This window comes from Homo sapiens, chromosome 2 (assembly GCF_000001405.40).
Source record: "Homo sapiens chromosome 2, GRCh38.p14 Primary Assembly".
NCBI classification, from domain to species: Eukaryota; Metazoa; Chordata; class Mammalia; order Primates; family Hominidae; genus Homo; species Homo sapiens.
The window spans coordinates 113,705,645-113,724,632 of NC_000002.12; the positions used below are offsets into that span (position 1 = coordinate 113,705,645).

The window sequence follows — 18,988 nt, forward strand, 5'->3', positions numbered from 1 at the left end:
TTAGTAGATGAAGAAAGAAGTTATAAGTAGTCAAGTAGTCAGATCAAGGCTTTAAGAACACTATCTCCTTAAGATTCTATTTTCAGTCTTTCAAGAAAAAAATTTAAGAAATTATTTTTACTCTTTCCCAAAGCTTCTATGAATACACTATCCTGAATGCTTTCATTCTTATCTTTTGTCACTGAAAAATATTTTTCATGTTTTATATATGTTTGGTTTTAAAGAGGCAATAATGTTCTTCACATTTCCCTTTAGCTCAGCTTGGGAGAAGAAAAAGGGAAAGGGGAGTAAGTAGAGGAGGGAAGGGATTCGAAATACTAGTCCAGGGCAGGTACTTTCCCCTAATTCCACTTTCTGGAGTGGACTTGACATGGATAAAGGTGATCTTGGTTCCAGAATATTTCTTGTACTGTGACATCTTCGCAGGCTGTGATTCTACTGTTGAAAGTAAGTGTTGTCCATACAATATGGTCCCCAGTGCAAATGTGCCAATTCTGAGCCTGCTTGACCTGAGGTCTGCGGCTCTGCTCTAAGTCAGGGGAGTCGACACCAGAGGGATACCACCAAGCTCCAAGCTCCTGTGCCAGCTGGCTTCCAGTCAGCTCCTGCCACCGGGAGTCAATGGCAAAAAGCAAAGCAAAGCGAGAGTATTTCTTTCCCTCCTTCTTTGCCTCCAGCTGCAGCACCCTGAAGGCCCCTGTGCTCTGCTGCGGGGGTTGTGCTTCCTCTGGGTGACCCTGGCCTTGAGCTTTATGACGGCTTCCTCCCTCCACCCCACCATCCTAGGGATAGCATTGGCTTTCTGCTGTTGCTAATTTCTATTCCAATTTTGGAGGAAAAGTTCAATGGAAGGGACTTATCATGAGATGGAATGTAGGTCTCTTATTCAGGACCCTCCCAAGGGCAATTTGATTATTCAAAAATTTCACCTTTTGGCTTTAGACCTTAACATGCATAAGATGCAACTCAGTGTGTTTAATGTTTGGTCTCCAAAGCTGAGTGATGTGCTCCACAAGAAGACCTACTTTATCAAATACCCGAGACACATCTTAGAGACTAAGGTGTGAAAGAATGAATGAGTGAAAATGTTTTAATAAAAGGAAACTAGAAATCAAATATTTGTATAAGGACAGATTTGAGGTTTTTCTGTACTTTTAATGAGCTAGAAAATGCATACTATAAATAGAATATACAAATGATTTTACACAAATGAAGCATTAAAAATCACAAATCTTATATTTGGTTATCCACAGTCTATAAAATAATGTTCCCAAATTATATAGTTTAAAATACACAATGTTTCAAGTTGCAAGACAAAACCAGGGTAGTTTTGGCCCTAAATCATAGCTAACATAAGTAGGAATTATAATTAATTTTATAATTGTGTTTAAATTTTAAATACTCTAGAATCTGAAAATATTAAATATTAAATAGATGGAGGGATCAAATTATCAAGTTTTTTAACAAAATTGAGGTAAAAATCTGCATTAAATTACACCAAGAAAAACATTTCTAAAACATTGTTTCCATAACTCATTATAAATATTTCATCTTCCGAAAGTACTCTTTGATTACCTCTGGCCTTCTGGGTCTGGTAATTAAGTTGACTTAATATTTGCACATAGCTACTGATTACTCAATACAGGCCTATCAGATAAAACTAAAATGCTGCAACTTAATCAGAATGATGCAATCTTGTCTTATATAAATATACAAATCACAGTATGCTGACACTAGATAACTTCAGCTTTATTTGCCAAAGGGGATTTAGAATATACTACAAAATTGTATATAAAATAACCCTTTACAAGGATTTACTAGGATGACTGCAAAGAAAGGCAAATTAAATATACCTGGTCCCATATAAGAATTGTTGCCTAACCTCATATACTAATTTGAATATGAAGACTCACTTTTTATTTCTTATTTTTTTGAAACAGGGTCTCGCTCTGTCACCCAGGCTGGAGTGCAGTGGTGTGATCTCAGCTCACTGCAACCTCTGCCTCTTGGGTTCAAGCGATTCTCCTACCTCAGCCTCACAAGTAGCTGGGACTACAGGCGTGCACCACCATGCCTGGCTAATTTTTTGTATTTTTAGTAGAGAAGGGGTTTCTCCATGTTGGTCACACTGGTTTTGAACTCCTAATCTCAGGTGATCCACCCGCCTCGGACTCCCAAAGTGCTGGGATTACAGGTGTGAGCCACCGCACCTGGCCTGAATATAAAGACTCATTTTAAATTATACTAGTTGAACCTTTATACTACAATGTATCCTGGCACTTATTTTTTTTAAACCATTATCAGATATTTCATGTTCTACTAGTAAAGGGAATTCGCATTTTCAATGTCCTGTCTGCATTCCTCCTAGCCTCTCTCTGCTCAGGTTTTGGAAAATAGATCTTTCAAATGCAATTGCAGTATCCAAGGAAATTCCTCCCACCCATGCCACCAGTGCTCATCCTGTGGGCACCCCACAGTCAGCAGTTTAAGACCATTCTGGATGAATGCAAATGCTTGATTCAATTTTCCCAAATCCCAATCAACTAGCTACAGTTTTTATTGTATGCAATCTTCCCAACATTGCAGTAAAGCAGTCTAGATGGCTGGGGAAAGGTAAAAGAACCCCGGTTGTGATTATTTTTTTCTAACAAAATGGAATTAAAAGATGAGAAAACCTCGTAGTATTTTAGTCTGGTACTTTTAGCATCCCCAACTTTTAAGATTATAAATTCACAATAGTGAACACCCTAGTGACAACTTTTAAATAAAATACTGGATAGCTGGGCGCAGTGGCTCACACCCGTAATCCCAGCACTTTGGGAGGCCGAGGCGTGTAGATCACTTGAGGTCAAGAGTTCAAGACCAACCTGGCCAACATGGTAAAACCTCCTCTCTACTATAAATACAAAAAATTAGCTGGGCGTGGTGGTGCATGTCTGTAATCCCAGCTATTCGGGAGGCTGAGGCAGGAGAATCACTTGAACCCAGGAGGCAGAGGTTAGAGTGAGCCGAGATCGTGCCACTGCACTTCAGCCTGGGCAATGGAGTGAGACTCTGTCTCAAAAAAAATAAAAAATAAAAAATAAAATACTGCATAATTACATGCTATAGTAAATTAATCATACACTCAAAATTTTAGCTTGGATTTGTTTTGCAACTGATTTGATGCTGTCTGAAAATCAAGATCAAGCAGGTGATGAAAACTATACCTTTTGAACATGCATTAGGTAACCAGGGGGCAACAGAGTAGGGACTAATAAGGCCAGCAACTCAGGGAAATTAGCCTATTCATCTGATATATTTGGCCTCCATAAAACTGCCATGGATTCCAACTGTACTCAAATATAATACAACTTCTTCAATGCTGCTTTATAAATCTGACTGAAAACCTTATTTAAGGAGTCAAGATGCTGAACACCCTAACAAAAGCAAAAACAAAATTACGGCCTATGTGGTGTCACTGTTATTACCACTCTTTACAAAGCACTAAGTACACATAGGTGTTTGGCATTGTCTCTGGAACTACAAAACTATGGCCTATGTGGTGTCACTGTTATTCACTCTTTACAAAGCACTAAGTACACACAGGTGTTTGGCATTGTCTCTGGAACTACAAAACTACGGCCTATGTGGTGTCACTGTTATTACCACTCTTTACAAAGCACTAAGCACACACAGGTGTTTGGCATTGTCTCTGGAACTACAAAATTAAACTTTTAGAATCACAGCATTTTACACCTGAGAGGAATCTTAAAAGATACTGAATTTCGCTTCTCACTTTATAGCTGAGAAGAGTGAGGGAAGGACGGACCATGGGAGTCAGCATTTTTCAAGCATCCAGGCACGCTGGGCCTGGTATTTCAATTAGAGTTTCTCATTCTCACAGTCTCAGGCAGGTTGCATTAACCTCCACTTCACAGCTAAGTAAATGCGGATCTACCAGATTGAATAATCTCCCCCAAATAAATTCACTAATGAGGAACAGAAGGAATCCAACGTCAGAGTTAGTGCTCTTCTCAGAGTAATAATCTGCAAAGTGTGGTCCTGGGACCAGCAGCTGGGGCATTACCTGGACGCTTGTTAGAAAGGCAAATTACCAGGCCCACCATCCCCACCGCCAGACCTACTGAATCAGAAACTCTAGGGTGGCCCCCAGCAATCAAGTTTTTGGTTTTGTTTTTTTAACAGACAGGGTCTCACTTTGCTGCCCAGGCTGGACTGCAGTGGCCCAATAATAACTCACTGCAGCCTCGAACTCCTGGGTTCAAGTGATCCTCCTGCCTCAGACTCCCAAGCAGCTCAGACTACAGGTATGCACTACCATGCCTGTTTGTTTTTTGTTTTTGTTTTTGTAGAGACAGGGGTCTTGCTGTATTGCCCAGCCTGATCTTGAACTCCTGGGCTCACGTGATCCTCCTGCCTCAGTCTCCCAAAGCACTGGAATTACAGGCATGAGCCTGTGTTCTCCCCTCTCTTCCAATAATGTGTATTCAACAAGGCCTTCAGGTGATGCTGATGCTGTCTGAAAGCCACTGCTCTCCAGCATGTGGTCTCTGAAACTTTACTTAGGAGTATGCATATTAAAATATATATATAACTTAACACTATGCTACTACAAAGGGCAAAATAATTCACTTTATTGTACTTTATTTTAGAATAATTAAGACAAGGATAGGCTTCAATGAAATTTTGCTTTGATGTTACATGGTCTGACTGACACTGGATTTCTTCATAAGAAAAATAAATGTGAAAGCTATTCCAAGTAAGCAAATGGTGGCAAAAACAATCTAAAGAATTGGTTTTAGCCAGGCATGGTGGCTCATGCCTGTAATCCCAGCACTTTGGGAGGCCAGGGCGGGCAGATTACTTGAGCTCAGGAGTTCAAGAGCAGCCTGGCCAACATGGTGAAACCCCATCTCTACTAAAAACACAAAAATTAGGCAATATAGCAAGACCCCATCTCTACCAAAAATACAAAAAAACTAATCAGGAATGGGGGCACATGCCAGTAGTCCCAACTACTCAGGAGACTGAGGTGGGAGGATGGCTTGAGCTTGGGAGGTTGCAGTGAGCCAAGATCCTGCCACTGCACTCCAGCCTGGGTGACAGAGTGAGACCCCATCTCAAAAAAAAAAAAAGAATTTCATCTCATGTCAAAAATAAGACTCTTGGACAGAAATCTTCTGCCTGCCTTCCAAGGACCCACTGAAATTAATGGATACTCTCACATGACTGACTTTATTATTAAATACTTGCTGTAATCACAACTAGGCATAGGAAAATCAAGTAGAGAAATACTGAATGCCTAGCATACAACGATCTAAGTGAAAGTTAATAAAAGTAGCTCTTCAGAAAGACATCTCATGTAAAATTAAATTTAAAACTAAAAATTTCATGAAGTGACCTGTTAAGAGTTTCAATTTAGAAGCTTTACTTTTCTAATTTTAAAATATCATGAATGAAATGGTGTCTTCATCTAGGTGCTTCTCCATCAAAATCCCTAGCTCAAAAATAAAAATCATGTTTGTGTCACCCCAGATTCAAAATGCTGTTATTGGAAATGTTACCATTTCACATGAACATTCCAGTAAATATGCACATAGAGGGTACTCATTACTTTTGGTTGGTAATTTTTCCTTAAATATATTTCAATGATTTCATTGTTTGACATTTTCATAGTTAACGTATACTGAATACAGAAAATTTTGTAGGAAAACACTATTTTTTAAATGTAGTAACATTAAAATATTAAAATATCCCGTTTATTAAAGGCTCTTAAGATTTAAAGAAAAATTTCCTGTGCACATACAATGTACCTATGAAATACTGTATTATTAGTTATTGTACAGGCAAATGAGGCTGTTACTATAAAAAAAATGTGGTGTCTAAAAATTGCAAGTCTATGTGAAAAATCAACCTCAATTTATCTAAATGGGATTTGGGGGACACGGCAGACTATTAAAATAGAACTCAAACTTCAAATTCTGTAAACTGAACATCTCATTAATGCCACTTCACCATTTAAAAAAGTCAGCACACAATGTTAGCTATGTAAGTTTATCTGCAGATGTTACAGGTAATTATTTCTGTTAACTCCTCCTAAAATATTATTTAGTAATAAAGAATATTTCAAAAGGAGAGTAGGTAGAAACGAAGATCATAACTATACTTACTTAATATGAAAATGACATTTCATTTATTTGCTAATATGTGGAAAAAAATTTTCTAATTAATTCCTCCTTTATCCTTCTTTAAAAACATTTTATTTCTTCAACCAGCACACTGAGGATTAGTGCTATGGGTATTACCACAGTGCCCTGTGAAAAGACTTGGCTTCCAGAGAAGTCATACCTTGCATACCCTGGAGTCATACCTCAAATTGGCTCTGCATGATTGATTTTACAGCGGGCATTAAAATTCTTCTGAAACAAGGCTGTGTACCTTTGAGAACATTCACATTTAACCTTGTGAGCTCACTTCTACAAGAACAATGAACTTATTTGTCAGCTGCCAGGGGGAAAATCAGCTTAATGTAAAGAATTAATTAAATCAGGTTGACAGAAGCCAATATCTCAATGTTTTTAAATTAAAATTTATTTAAAGGAATAAGTATGGGTGCATTACATAAACCTAATGGTTCTTCTAAGCTTCAAAAAGCATTCATTTCAAAAGTATTCACTTTTTTTTTTTTTGAGACGGAGTCTCGCTGTCGCCCAGGCTGGAGTGCAGGGGCACGATCTCGGCTCACTGCAGGCTCCGCCTCCCGGGTTCACGCCATTCTGCTGCCTCAGCCTCCCGAGCAGCTGGGACTACAGGCGCCGCCACCACGCCCGGCTAATTCTTTGTATTTTTAGTAGAGACGGGGTTTCACTGTGTTAACCAGGATGGTCTCGATCTCCTGACCTCGTGATCCGCCCGCCTCGGCCTCCCAAAGTGCTGGGACTACAGGCGTGAGCCACCACGCCCGGCCCAAAAGCATTTACTGTTAAGGCTGCCTCATTTTTCAGCTTTGTTGTAGTTGAGATTCTGATGTTCACCTAACAAAGTCCCTGACAAAACAGACTTCCTTCAATCCAGGTCATAATTTGAAACGTTATACAATAATGAGATTTAAGTGATGAATGGAAAGAAAAGAAGGAGACTGAAAAGATATCAGAAATTTCTATTTGTTTTTAGATTCAGAAAAATATAATTACAGGCCAACATGGGTCTGACAGAGAGGAAGGACGTCAGCAGTTACTTGAATGTAACCCCTTCCCAGCATTTCCAAAGACCTGCAATGTGCTCATTGTGATCCAAGGGCCTTGTTACCTAGTTTCTAGGTGATCTACAGAATTGAAACAACCCAGCACAACTTTATTTCTTGAGAAGATGAACCCTTAACTATGAAGGTGCAGAAAGGAAGTCTTCAACTGCTCACTCACCATGGCTACAGTATTCAAATGCAACAATCATTCAGATAAATAAAACCTGTGAGAAAAAGCAAACAGGTGGGCAAGCAAAGCGGCAGTGATTCATACTTTCAGTTAACCAATTGAACAGTGGTGCTTCCTTCTGAAGAAGTTGTTCATTGATTTTTGTTTTTTAAGAAACAGAAAAGCAGCAGTATAATGAAAGAAGATTGGCTGAAGATCTATCCAGCCTGTTAACTACGGCTTAGTACTTCCAGAATCCTGAGTAACAACACATGACCTGTGTGATGATAAGAGCACAGAACACATGAACAACCAAAAGATTCTAAGCTCAGCCTCTTTCCCTATAGTATTTACAGAATAATTTTAAATTTCAGTTTCACCTCCACTACTTCAACGATTTTACCCTGTAAATTGCTGAAGGTCTTTGTGAACTGTCGAACAGCAAAAACAAAAAGTAGAGGTATCTAGATTATAAACTTCAACCAAAAGTAGTCCTTGAGTAATTAAAATGTTACTTCATTATGTTCTTTTTAAAAGAAAATTCCTCAGAAGTCCACATTCTTTACATGCCTTCACCCTGTTGAGCTAAACAGGTCAAAAGTATAATAAACTCAACATTATTTTTAACTTGCGTTATTGGTGGTGCCAAATGAGAAAAGAGCTGTTTTTGCCACTTTGGGCTGGATGATTAAAAAAAAAAAAAAAAAAAAAGAGAGCTGTTTGTATTTTAAATTTAATATCATAAACAATTTTTAAAGGTAATATAATATAGAAGTTCTCAGAATGAAACAAAAGGAAGGCTAAACTTCATTTTAGACTCATGGTAACACCAAAGCAATTTTAAGAATGTGAATAGGAAGCTAAACACTGCAAAGAGAATTCTTAAAAATCAGATTAGTTAAGAAATTTTGAAGAGAACTAAACTCTTCACAGCAAACTTGAAAAGAATATTGATTAATCAAAAGCCTGTGAATCCTGGGACATACGTTTACTGATATCTATGGTGAATAGAGTCCAGGAGCAGTTGCATAATAAGTACATGTAAGGCCTAAGTTTAAGAATTGCAATTAGGAGTATTTTACATTTAATTTATAATCTTAGTAGAGGAAAAGTTCTGATGTGATTTTAAAAACAGAATCCCTTCTCGCCTTACTTACTTGGTACTTTAACCATTACAAATTTATTCAGGAAAACTAAAATTATTTAAAGAAGAGACATCTAGTTCTAGAGTAATCTGGCACATTCATATGTGAAAAAAATTAGAAATCACTTGATACATCTACAATACACAAATAGACGTATAAACATTGTATTTTAATAATACTCTTTGTCACTTCAATTTAAATCATTCCATTATGAAAATTTCTTAATTGAAGGGAGACTATTTCTTCAAAACTCTAAATTAAACAGAGCTTTATCAATTAAGTTTACAGCAATATAGCCTTTAGAAATACATATTTCTTCATTTTATAATAATACTTCCCCTTTAAAAATTTGCCATGGTTTGTCACAGATTTAAAATACAAGGCACCTAATGCTATAAAAGAATAATACAGTAAATGTAGTGTAAGTGAACCAGATATTTTCTCAAATACTTATTCTTTTTAAAGTCCCATGAAATTTGCACAAACATGCTTGTTGCATAAATTAAACATTTTTTGTGTGGTTAATTTGCAATATTCTACAAAACCCAAAAATATAATCCACACTTATTACAGGTAGCTTATTTTAGCATTTTACCTGTCAGAAATACTGGTCTATGAACACTTAAGTGATTTCTTGAAAACATTTTCATAATATATTCCAGCATTTAACATGTGAAAATAAAGTCCCAGAACATTAGGATTTATTCCTTGATTAGTTCAAATGATTTCAACAGCTGAATTCCTTGAGATGTGTAAGGCAGGTTGGTCCTTTGGATGGACTGTAGACTGAAACTTCCTATAACTGTAGTGATATGTACACAGCTACATAGCAAAGTGCTTCATTATGAAAATGAAGAAAACAGGTATGAGAAAAATATATTTTAGAGTTTCAAAGAACTCAAACTGTTATTTTTCAGACTAGGCACTGAAACATTTTTTCTACAAAAACTTGCCAGAGATTGTCTCTTCGCTGTATAGTTCCATTATCAAGCTAAAAACAGAAACCACAGAAATGTGATTAGATTATAATTTCACAGTTTTAGTTTTCTATAGTTTACATTTTAAAAAGCAAATTATCTTAAAATTGAAATACCTATTTTCACTGTATACATACTTAATAACTGGATACTCAAATTTGGAGTACTAAGAACTTATGAATGTGACTTCTATAGCAATGTCAAAAGCTGACATCAACACTAAAGACTGTGTATTAGCAGTTAGTTGTACTCCTGGTATATTCCACCATTACTCCTGCAAAGACAAAGTCACCTGCCCAGTCTATTCTACTCTATTGCAATCCATCCTCCCTAGTCTTCACTCTCTCCTTTACACAGCTCTCACTTCTAAAAATACTGAAACCTTGCTGGATATGGGTAGGTTTAAGTGTGAGTACGAGAACAATGCACAGCATACCCAAGAAAAATAATGCATAAATTACAGCATTAAAAAGCTTTCAAGAATACAAAGTCCTCACTTAATGTCATAGGTTCTAGGAAACTGACTTTAGGTCCCCGAATAACATTTTTTCGTTCAGTGTTGTTATGTTATAATGTTGATGCAAAAAAAAAAAGTTTTGCTGTAATTTTGCTTAAAGTCACAGTTTATAAGAACCTACTGATGATGTTAAGTGAGGACTTACTGTAATTGTGTTTACGTTTTTTTAAATTTAAAGATGGCACATAAACATATATTTAGTTCCACTTGTTCTCCAAAACCTCACTAAAAAGGAAACAAAGGGTTAAAAAAATATATTTTTTAACAGAAATAAGGTCTCACTATGTTGCCCAGGCTAGTCTCAAACTCCTGAGCTCAAGTTATCCTCCCTCCTTGGCCTCCCAAAATGCTAGGATTACAGGCATGAGTCACTATGCCCAGCCTGGAATTTTTTTCTTAAAAGGAATAAACCACATGGACAAAAAGAAAAGTAGAGAGATGAGAAAATAACAGCCAACTCTTGGTTAGCAATGGAAAAACAGGACCAGATATCTCTGTAAGGAGGGGTGAAGAAACAACTAAAAACATGAAGACTGGTATAATGTCTATAGAAAAAGCAGACAGACACTCAGATGCCCTCTCTTACTTTTCACAGTTGGCCAAGTGCCTTTTCTCTACCCCAGGAGAAGACTTTAAGGTTTACTCTCCAAAAAGGGTAGTAACAGAGAATCTCTGGATAAGGGAAATACCAGGACGAATCCTACATAGCTCAGTCATAAGTAACAATTTTTTAGTGACAACAATATAAACACTGACTACAGATCTATCCAAAGTTATGCAACAACTACACAGGGATGATGAGGAGGCAGAACTGATATGGAGACAGGAGGCCTATGAGGTGGGAGCAGAGGAGGAGTCAACTTGAAAATAATCTGTCCTCGTTGATCTTAGTGGGAAAGTCAGCTGAAGATGCCTAAAACCGAGAACTCATGAAACACAAGTCATAAGCATGATACTTAGGGAGACAAGAAGGAAAATACCAAAAGAATCAGCTAAGAGTTTAATTTCCTCAGAGTGGGAAGAAAATGAAAGCAGGATGAGCAGGGCAGGGAAGGGCAGGGGTAACTGCCTTGTACAAAAAGTCTTGGAGAACTAGAGCTCAAACCATGTGCAGGTATAAACTAGATTTAAAAACAGCACACTAAAGAAAAACAGAAAACCAGGACCATTAGCTGTAGGTTAGAAGCAAGTTTACCAGGAGGATAATGAAACTTAACCTTCAAGCCTAATATAAGTGTTAACAACTGACAGGAGTTGTACAATGTTCTAGATAGGGAGGGAAAACTCAGTAGCAATCAAGAAACACTTCAATATAAATTGCCTAAAGATGTCTTAGAAAAACTAGAAAAATTCTAGTAGTTTTTTGTGATCTTTCATTCTAAATAATCACTTTTGTACCTGCAAAATCTGTACGTTACATTTAATTCAAGCTTTCATTCAGCAAAATATTAAATGTCATGTACTCTATCATCGAAGACATATAAAAGACACTATTTCTTAAAATGGAAAAAATGGAAAAAAATTCCAGAAGCATTGTTAAATGACAAAGCAATGTCAGAGAATGAGGATAAACACTGTGCCAGTTATGTAAAACAGACACATAAAGACTAGTATTTTCCAACCAGTATATTGTACACCAGAATATTACATTTTTCTTTTATCATCAGAGAAAAAATATTTTTCTAAAGCATATTATTAAATAAAATGACCCTTAGCATGAATAAAAATGAGTTAAAACTTTCTGATCATTTGAGTCAGGCACTATTATACATACTTTATATTTACCAAGTATTTACTATTTTAACACCCTCATAAGGGAGGTTCTACTGTAATCCCATTTCACAAATAAGAAAGCTGGAGCATCAAGAGATTAAGAACCTTGCACAGGGCCACACAGCTAGTATGTGGAGAAGACGGAACTGGAGTCCAGGCTTTAGCCCCTTTAGCCTCTAAGGCTGTATTGCCTCTCAAACAACTAATTATAGAAAATCAATCCTTTGAATATTACACAGATAAGAACCTTATTCAATACTAAACCCAGCTCACATACAAACCTGGGCTACAGACAACAGACAGCTAACTAGCTCCATCCTCCTGAGAAACACTGTGCATAGAAATGAGACTCTCACACTGTTCGCTGTCTTCTGGAACTCTTAAGAAAAAAAAAAGCAGTAATTAAGGAAAGCTTTAGAGCTGAAAAGGAACCTCAAACCTTATTTATTCCATTGCCTGAAGCTATGTGGACAGGATGCAAGTCAGTGGCAGAACCAACACTAGGATAAAATTTCCCAAGAACTTGTCCCAAGTTAGCGTTTTTTGTTTTTGTTTTTTAAATAAGAGATAGGGTCTCACTTTTTGTTTTTTAAATAAGAGATACGGTCTCACTTTTTGTTTTTTAAATAAGAGACAGGGTATCACTTTGTCACCCAGGCTAAAGTGTAGTGGTGCTATTATAGTTCACTGCAGCTTTGAATTCCTGGGCTCAAGTGATCCTCCTACCTCAGCCTCCCAAGTAGCTTGGGACTGCAGGTATATGCCATCATGTCTGGGTAATTTTTTTTTTAATTTTCTTAGAGACAGGGTCTTGATATGTTGCCCAGGCTGGTCTTGAGCTCCTAGCCTCAAGCAATTCTCCCACCTCAGCCTCCAGAGTCACTGGAACCAAGTTCTTTTTATAGCAAAATGTAAAAAGCTTTCATTCTTAAAAAGAAAGAAATTGGAAAGAAAAACTGAGGCAATACTATTCTATCATGAATTATGTTCAAACCAATAAAAGTTTTCTATATTTAAGTTTGTTATGGCAAAACAGTAAACCTTTTGGTATTACCTGTGAATCATATTTTTTTTAAAAAAATGTAGTTACTAGGCAGGCAAATCACTTGTGGTTGGGAATTCAAGGCCAGCCTGGCCAACACGGTGAAACCTGCCTCTACTGAAAATACAAAAATTAGCTGGGCATGGTGGTGCATGCCTGTAATCCCAGCTACTCAGGAGGCTGAGGCAGGAGAATCACTTGAACCCAGGAGGCAGAGGTTGCAGTGAGCTGAGATCGTGCCATTGCACTCCAGGCTGGGCTACAGAGCAAGACTCTGTCAAGAAAGAGAAAAAAAGAAGAAAGAGAAGAAAGAAAGAGGGAAAGAAAAGGAAAGAAAAAGAGAGAGAAAGAAAAAGAAAGAAAGAAAGAAAGAAAGAAAGAAAGAAAGAAAGAAAGAAAGAAAGAAAGAAAGAAAAAGAAAGGAAGAAAGGAAGGAAGGAAGAAAGAAAGAAAGAAAGGAGAAAGAATCTTATTACCCAAAAGATCTAAACCAATTATTTTATTTTCATCTGCCGTAACATATAAGTTATCATCTTTCAATAATTCCTCACAAAATCTCTAAAAGCTAGGCCAGCATGATGCAATTCTCAGTTATCTAGCAAACACTATTTTTAAAAATGTGTATTGGGACTAAACTTACCTCTGAATTCGATGTTTTCTGCATATAAAAGCAAATATTCTTCTGATTCCCACCATCACAGGATCCCAATTATTATAATGGCATAGGAGAGTTACAATAAAAAATGAAAAAAATACAGGGATAGCTCCTGCAAAAAATAACCAAGAAAACTGCACCTAAAAATAAAAGATAGAGGAAAAAACACACCCACAATTATCATTAAGGCAATTTTCCCCTTCAATGTAAGTTTTCTATTTGTGAAAACTAGCAGGAATAAGAACAATGGGAAGACAAAATTAAACACTGACAATGTATTAAGTGTATTATTATTAAATAAGAATTCAAGACTTCAACTTACTATTCCATGCACCTAAATTACCAACAACAATAGTTCTTGCTTGGAAAATAGGCTAAAGGAAAGCCAAGAAAGCATACTTTCCATTTATAGGCATTGTACACTTAGAGTAGAGATATACAGTAGGAAACTTTGCTCCTGCACACCATGTTGCTCATTTCTTCTTCACTGTTTGCTGCCTAGTCTCAAGTGGGTCTCTCTCCCTCAGTTTCTGAAGTCATCTTCAAAAAATGTATATTTTCGTAAAAAGTTACAGTTGTAGTATGCTGTGTATGCTACAGTCCTTATGACAGTACCAAAAACAAATTAAGTGCAAATTTGACACTCAAAACTCGCTTATCTAGTAATAAATGAAAAAAGCTCAAAATGAAATAATGACCAAATAAAATAAAGAAAAAAATATAGAAATATTTTTACTAAGGAATGTTAGCCAGAGAAGACAAGCAACAAGACAAGCCTCATCAGTGATGTCAACAAGTCTGATCCTCCAATCCATCATTTATCAGAGTTGTCAAGAAAATAAAAAATATCTGTAAGTAGGGTGGAGGTATTAAAATCAAAAAGAAAAAAAAATAAGAAAAACAAATATATAAATAAAAAGAAAATAAAAAATAATGAGATGCCATCCAAAACAAAACTCATTCTTCCCTTTCACTAGTTCACTTTTACCATCTAGACTCAGCTAAAGATCAGAAACGATTGTCAAAGAAGCCTACACTGATCAACCACTGAGACTTAAGTGTAACACACAGGAGGTTTGCTTTAAAAATAATGATGAAAATAGTAACTTCTATCTATAAAATAGGAAAGGAAAACTGTGTTTGCCCTCTTTGAGAATTAAAAAAAAAAAAAAAAGGGCATGGAATCATAGGTAAGACTCCCTCTGGTGGAAAACATATACTATTCCATTTCATAGCACCATTAGTCAGAGTAAACGAGTTTTGTGAGCATAATGTCTTTTATGAGGGAACTCACAATGCATAACACAAGAATAATAACTGACAATTTTTAACATGCATGCCCTATTTCTATGGTATTCATATACAATGACTGAGTCAGCCTAAGAAGACCCCGGAAAGAATAGTCATTAAACTGAAAAGCCTTCATTTAGTTATGAAATTACCAATATATTTTAACATATTCCTGGAATATTTGCCAGAATGACTAATAATCAGGAAAAACCATGCTGCATTTAAATTATCCAAGATCAGAAAAGGTATTAAGAAGTTATAAATAATGCGATTAAAAATGTAGATATAGTTGATAGAATTATTTCATGAATATTCAACTAAAAACCTTATTTCATAACTGAATCAAAGCAAACTTAATAAAGATAGATAAAGCCCTAGAAGACTTTAGAAGGCAAGTTCACTTTCCACAATGTAGCTGTTTATATGTTGTCTCATAATAAAAAACTTCTAATTTGATTTCCAACAAGCTAAGACAAAAGAAACGAAGCCATTTATTACAACAAAGAAAATTACCTATGTAAACAAAATTTTTTTTTCTAATTCCTAAATATATCTGAATATCAAATAGAATATGATCAAGGATGCTTTCTATTATATAAAATGATTATAAATAGATTTAAATAACCAATTTGTTTCAAGCACAATGTTAATAAATGCTAACATTTCAGAAGCTATATATAAATACAGTTAGCTAATTAAACCTAAAAACCCTATAAAAGTAGATTTCTCTTATGTTTGTGTTACAGTTCTGGACACACACTGCTGCTTTTTCCAGATGGAATCTCCCTAACCTCAATCCTGACACCAACACACAGCCTGCTCCTTTAACTGACTGCCCAGTTCTAGATATGAAGACAATCAAGAACACCAAATCTTTTCTTGATTGTCTTCATATCCAGAACTGGGCAATCAGTTAAAGTTTGGTTATGTTTTTATAATTAATTGCATGTGCATACATTTCCCCGTTTTGTCTTTACCCTAAAATACTTTATTAAACAAATTATAACCATTATTGTTTGTAATGATAATTATGAAATGACTAATCATTTAATACAATTAGGTCCCCTGTGACTATTTTCTTAAAAATTCCTGAACATTAAGCTGCAATTTTTTTCAATCTACGAAAGCTTTTGTTTTTAAAATATCAGTACAATAAAGATGATTTACACAGTAGTCTACCAAAATCCTCTAACAAGTAGCACCTTCCCAGTTTCACAACCAGTTTGGTTCATATTCAGGATTATGACCTGAAGATGAAGAAGGGCCTAGATATTACTTAAATCTATAAAAGAATGATGTGTAATAATGTGCAATGTTAGTGTTATATGGAATATCCACATTCTTTGAAAATGCAAGTTATGTAAGATAATTAATTCTCAATTAAGGAAAGAATCTCAGTTCTTTAACCATGACAAATAAGAATTTACTGACCATAAAACAAAGTTAAATATCAGTAAAGAATTATTTTATAAATAAAGAGGATATAGAGCACTAAGCATATTTTGCTTTTATCTTTTTTTTTTTTTTTTTTTTTGAGATGGAGTCTTGTTCTGTTGCCCAGGCTGGAGCGCAGTGGCATGATCTTGGCTCACTGCAACCTCCGCCTCCCGGGTTCAAGTGATTCTCCTGCCTCAGCCTCCCAAGTAGCTGGGATTACAGGTGCACGCCATCACACCCAGCTAATTTTTGTATTTTTAGTAGAGACGGGGTTTCACCATGCTGGCCAGGCTGGTCTCGAACTCCTAACCTCAAGTGATCTGCCTGCCTCGGCCTCCCAAGTGCTGGGATTACAGGCGTGAGCCACTGTGCCTGGCTAAGACCTAGAGAAAAATAGGTTTAAAATTTTGATTATTGCTTGTACACATTATAAGCCTTTGGGCCTTGAAGTATTTCCCTCTTCAAATTATATTAGACTAAAACACACATACATACACACACACACACACACATACTTCTGTGACTTAGTAGTTGCAGTTAAAAGTTAAATGCCTACATATACTGAACTGTGTGATAAATGGCTATGCTCCATCTTTCAGTGCTGGGCAACAGCATACCTCTGTTCTTCCTGCTTCACCCAAGAGCACTGAATAAACTCTTCCCTTCTAGGCTGCTGGCAGAAACATCCCAGATTCTCTTTTCTGCGGTGTTAGCATTGCCAATATTTATCACAAGAATCCCCACATCCATACTAGGCCTTCAGAGAAAAGGGATGGGATACCCACTCTGCTGAGTCCAGAGAGAGATGGCTAACTTTTACTGCAAACAGCATGATTCCTGTGCTGCTCATTCAGCACAGTGTTAAGGAGCCTGTGATAGGGTTTATCGCAGAAACTAAAATGCTTGTATGATAAAATGTGACTTACCAAAGAACATCTGGAACAGAATCAGCTCAAAAACTGGAGAACTACATATGAAGATGATGCCCTTAACTTAGAAATTTAGGGAAAAAAATGGAAAAGCTAAAAATGGAAATTATCTATTTCTTCGGTACTTTCTATATTTCTATGTAGTAAAGCACCTTGGGAGAGAAAGCATCAAGTATTATTTATGTTTGTATCCTTATAATTTAATCACATCTCAACTTTCATTAGGTTTGTTTTAATAACACACCTAAAATATCTATGAATAATAAATAGTTTCCTTACCTTTTGCATACACATGTCAGCTATTATGGACAGAGGTATTGTAAGGCTTAGTGCAAGTGTGCCTATCAATGATGAGGTAAGAAAGCAGCCCCTAAAAAAAAGAAAATATACATTTCTATATTTAAAAAATTAAACCAAAGAAAAACACTGAACAAAGACTTTCTATCCTATAATATAGGCCTGTGAGATCAGGAGCAAAGATAAGAGGCTAGGATGGATTGAAACATAAAATATAATAAAGTTATTAAGATGATTCTCAGTTTTTCTTCAAATATTAAAAATACAAATATATAAGTATAAAAAGCTCAAAATATTTTATGCTATTTTCAAGAGCTGTTTGCAGATCTTATTCAACTTTGGGTGTATAGCTTATATTTCATTAATTTTTTTAAAAAACTGTTGAACAGTTATTACCGTTTTGTGATGATTTGTAGATAACAAAGAAAACAGCATTATTAACATTGCAGGACAATACTTCACACATAGACTTTAAGGAAGTGATAAGCCAACATGTGATTCTGTCACCAAGCAAAAATATCTCACCTTCATGAACACTAAAATCATGTGTTACTCTTTTGATTTGGCTTGGCATAAAAAAAGAAAGACTTGAATATTCTTAAAAAATATTTTCTTGTTGTTTTCCATTTTTCTAACAATTGTCCTAACCAAAAGCTAAGTAAGCTCTTTATTTTCACCTTGAATTAACAATGTGGGTATGAAATTTTGAAATATCTATCTGCATACAATTTTGTTGAATTGAAAGAAAATATTATACCCAATGGAGACAGATGAGCCATTTATAAAGACTGATAATTTGGGCATATAAGGAGAAAATGAATTATAAGCCAAGATAAAACCATAATGTATATTGTTAGGACTACAGATCCATGGAAGTTATAGGCAAGTAAAATCTAGCTCAGTATATGTCAGAATTAATAGTGCTGTCCTGCAATAAAAGGGGCTATCTCTCAATAAAGTGTCACTAGAAGTAATGAACAGAGGCTGAACAACGAGTCCTTATTGATGAGGTAAAGGAAACAAGTACTTGTGGTTCCCACTACTTAGCTGCTCTGTGAAAAGAGCATTCGGGGTCAAATACAGCATATGTTCTTGGATGTTTATCATGCAGAGTACTATAATAAAAAACCTGGGAGGTAGAATTATAAAGCCTGTTTGACTTAATCCAGCTGTTAAGGTGGATCCAATTTAGCTAAAGGCTAAAGCCTTTTGTCATCTGTTAATAGTTAAGGTTAAAAAAATCGAGTATCTAAAATGTACATAACTAAAGATGAAAAAATTAATGAGCAAATGGATTATGATTTTAAAGAATTTTAGATCAGCAAAGGAGTTTAGATAAGAACATAAATTACTACAATACAAAGTAAATCTTTAAGTATTACACAAAAGAGAGTGATATGGGGGATACCAAGAAAATAGGTATTTCTTAACTGGGCAGGGAGACAGCACTGTAGGCAGAGCATTAAGGAAGACTCCACAAAAAAGTCTATTTCTGTTGCAGTCTTTTGCAA

General features: G+C 35.8%; 1 protein-coding gene and 1 non-coding gene across 11 annotated transcripts in view, besides 1 other annotated feature; both read right to left on the reverse strand.

The window, feature by feature from the left end:
* The window catches only part of SLC35F5 (solute carrier family 35 member F5), a 53,961-nt gene that overhangs the window by 2,963 nt on the left and 32,010 nt on the right, over positions 1-18,988 (reverse strand). For 4 of the 10 annotated variants that reach the window (XM_047445926.1, XM_047445923.1, XM_017005027.2 and 1 more), the window contains 3 exons: positions 17,460-17,550; positions 13,510-13,664; positions 12,109-12,206 (listed from right to left, as the gene is read on the reverse strand). In XM_047445926.1, coding sequence (XP_047301882.1) covers positions 12,131-12,206; positions 13,510-13,664; positions 17,460-17,550 — 322 coding nt within the window. In that variant the 3' untranslated portion in view covers positions 12,109-12,130. Of the gene's footprint in view, positions 1-1,064; positions 9,552-12,108; positions 12,207-13,509; positions 13,665-17,459; positions 17,551-18,988 lie in introns of those variants that run through there. The other 6 variants (NM_025181.5, NM_001330315.2, NM_001330314.2 and 3 more) reach the window with 3 other exon arrangements.
* Positions 3,304-3,934: an enhancer, noted in NCBI's record as "OCT4-NANOG hESC enhancer chr2:114466525-114467155 (GRCh37/hg19 assembly coordinates)". NCBI's record gives its function as "activates a minimal SCP1, AML or CMV promoter by ChIP-STARR-seq in primed H9 embryonic stem cells {active_cell/tissue: H9 hESC(primed)}" and the evidence as "EXISTENCE:reporter gene assay evidence [ECO:0000049][PMID:30033119]".
* Positions 15,646-15,724, reverse strand: MIR4782 (microRNA 4782). The gene has a single exon (NR_039943.1). It is a non-coding gene; the product is annotated as a microRNA 4782 (primary transcript).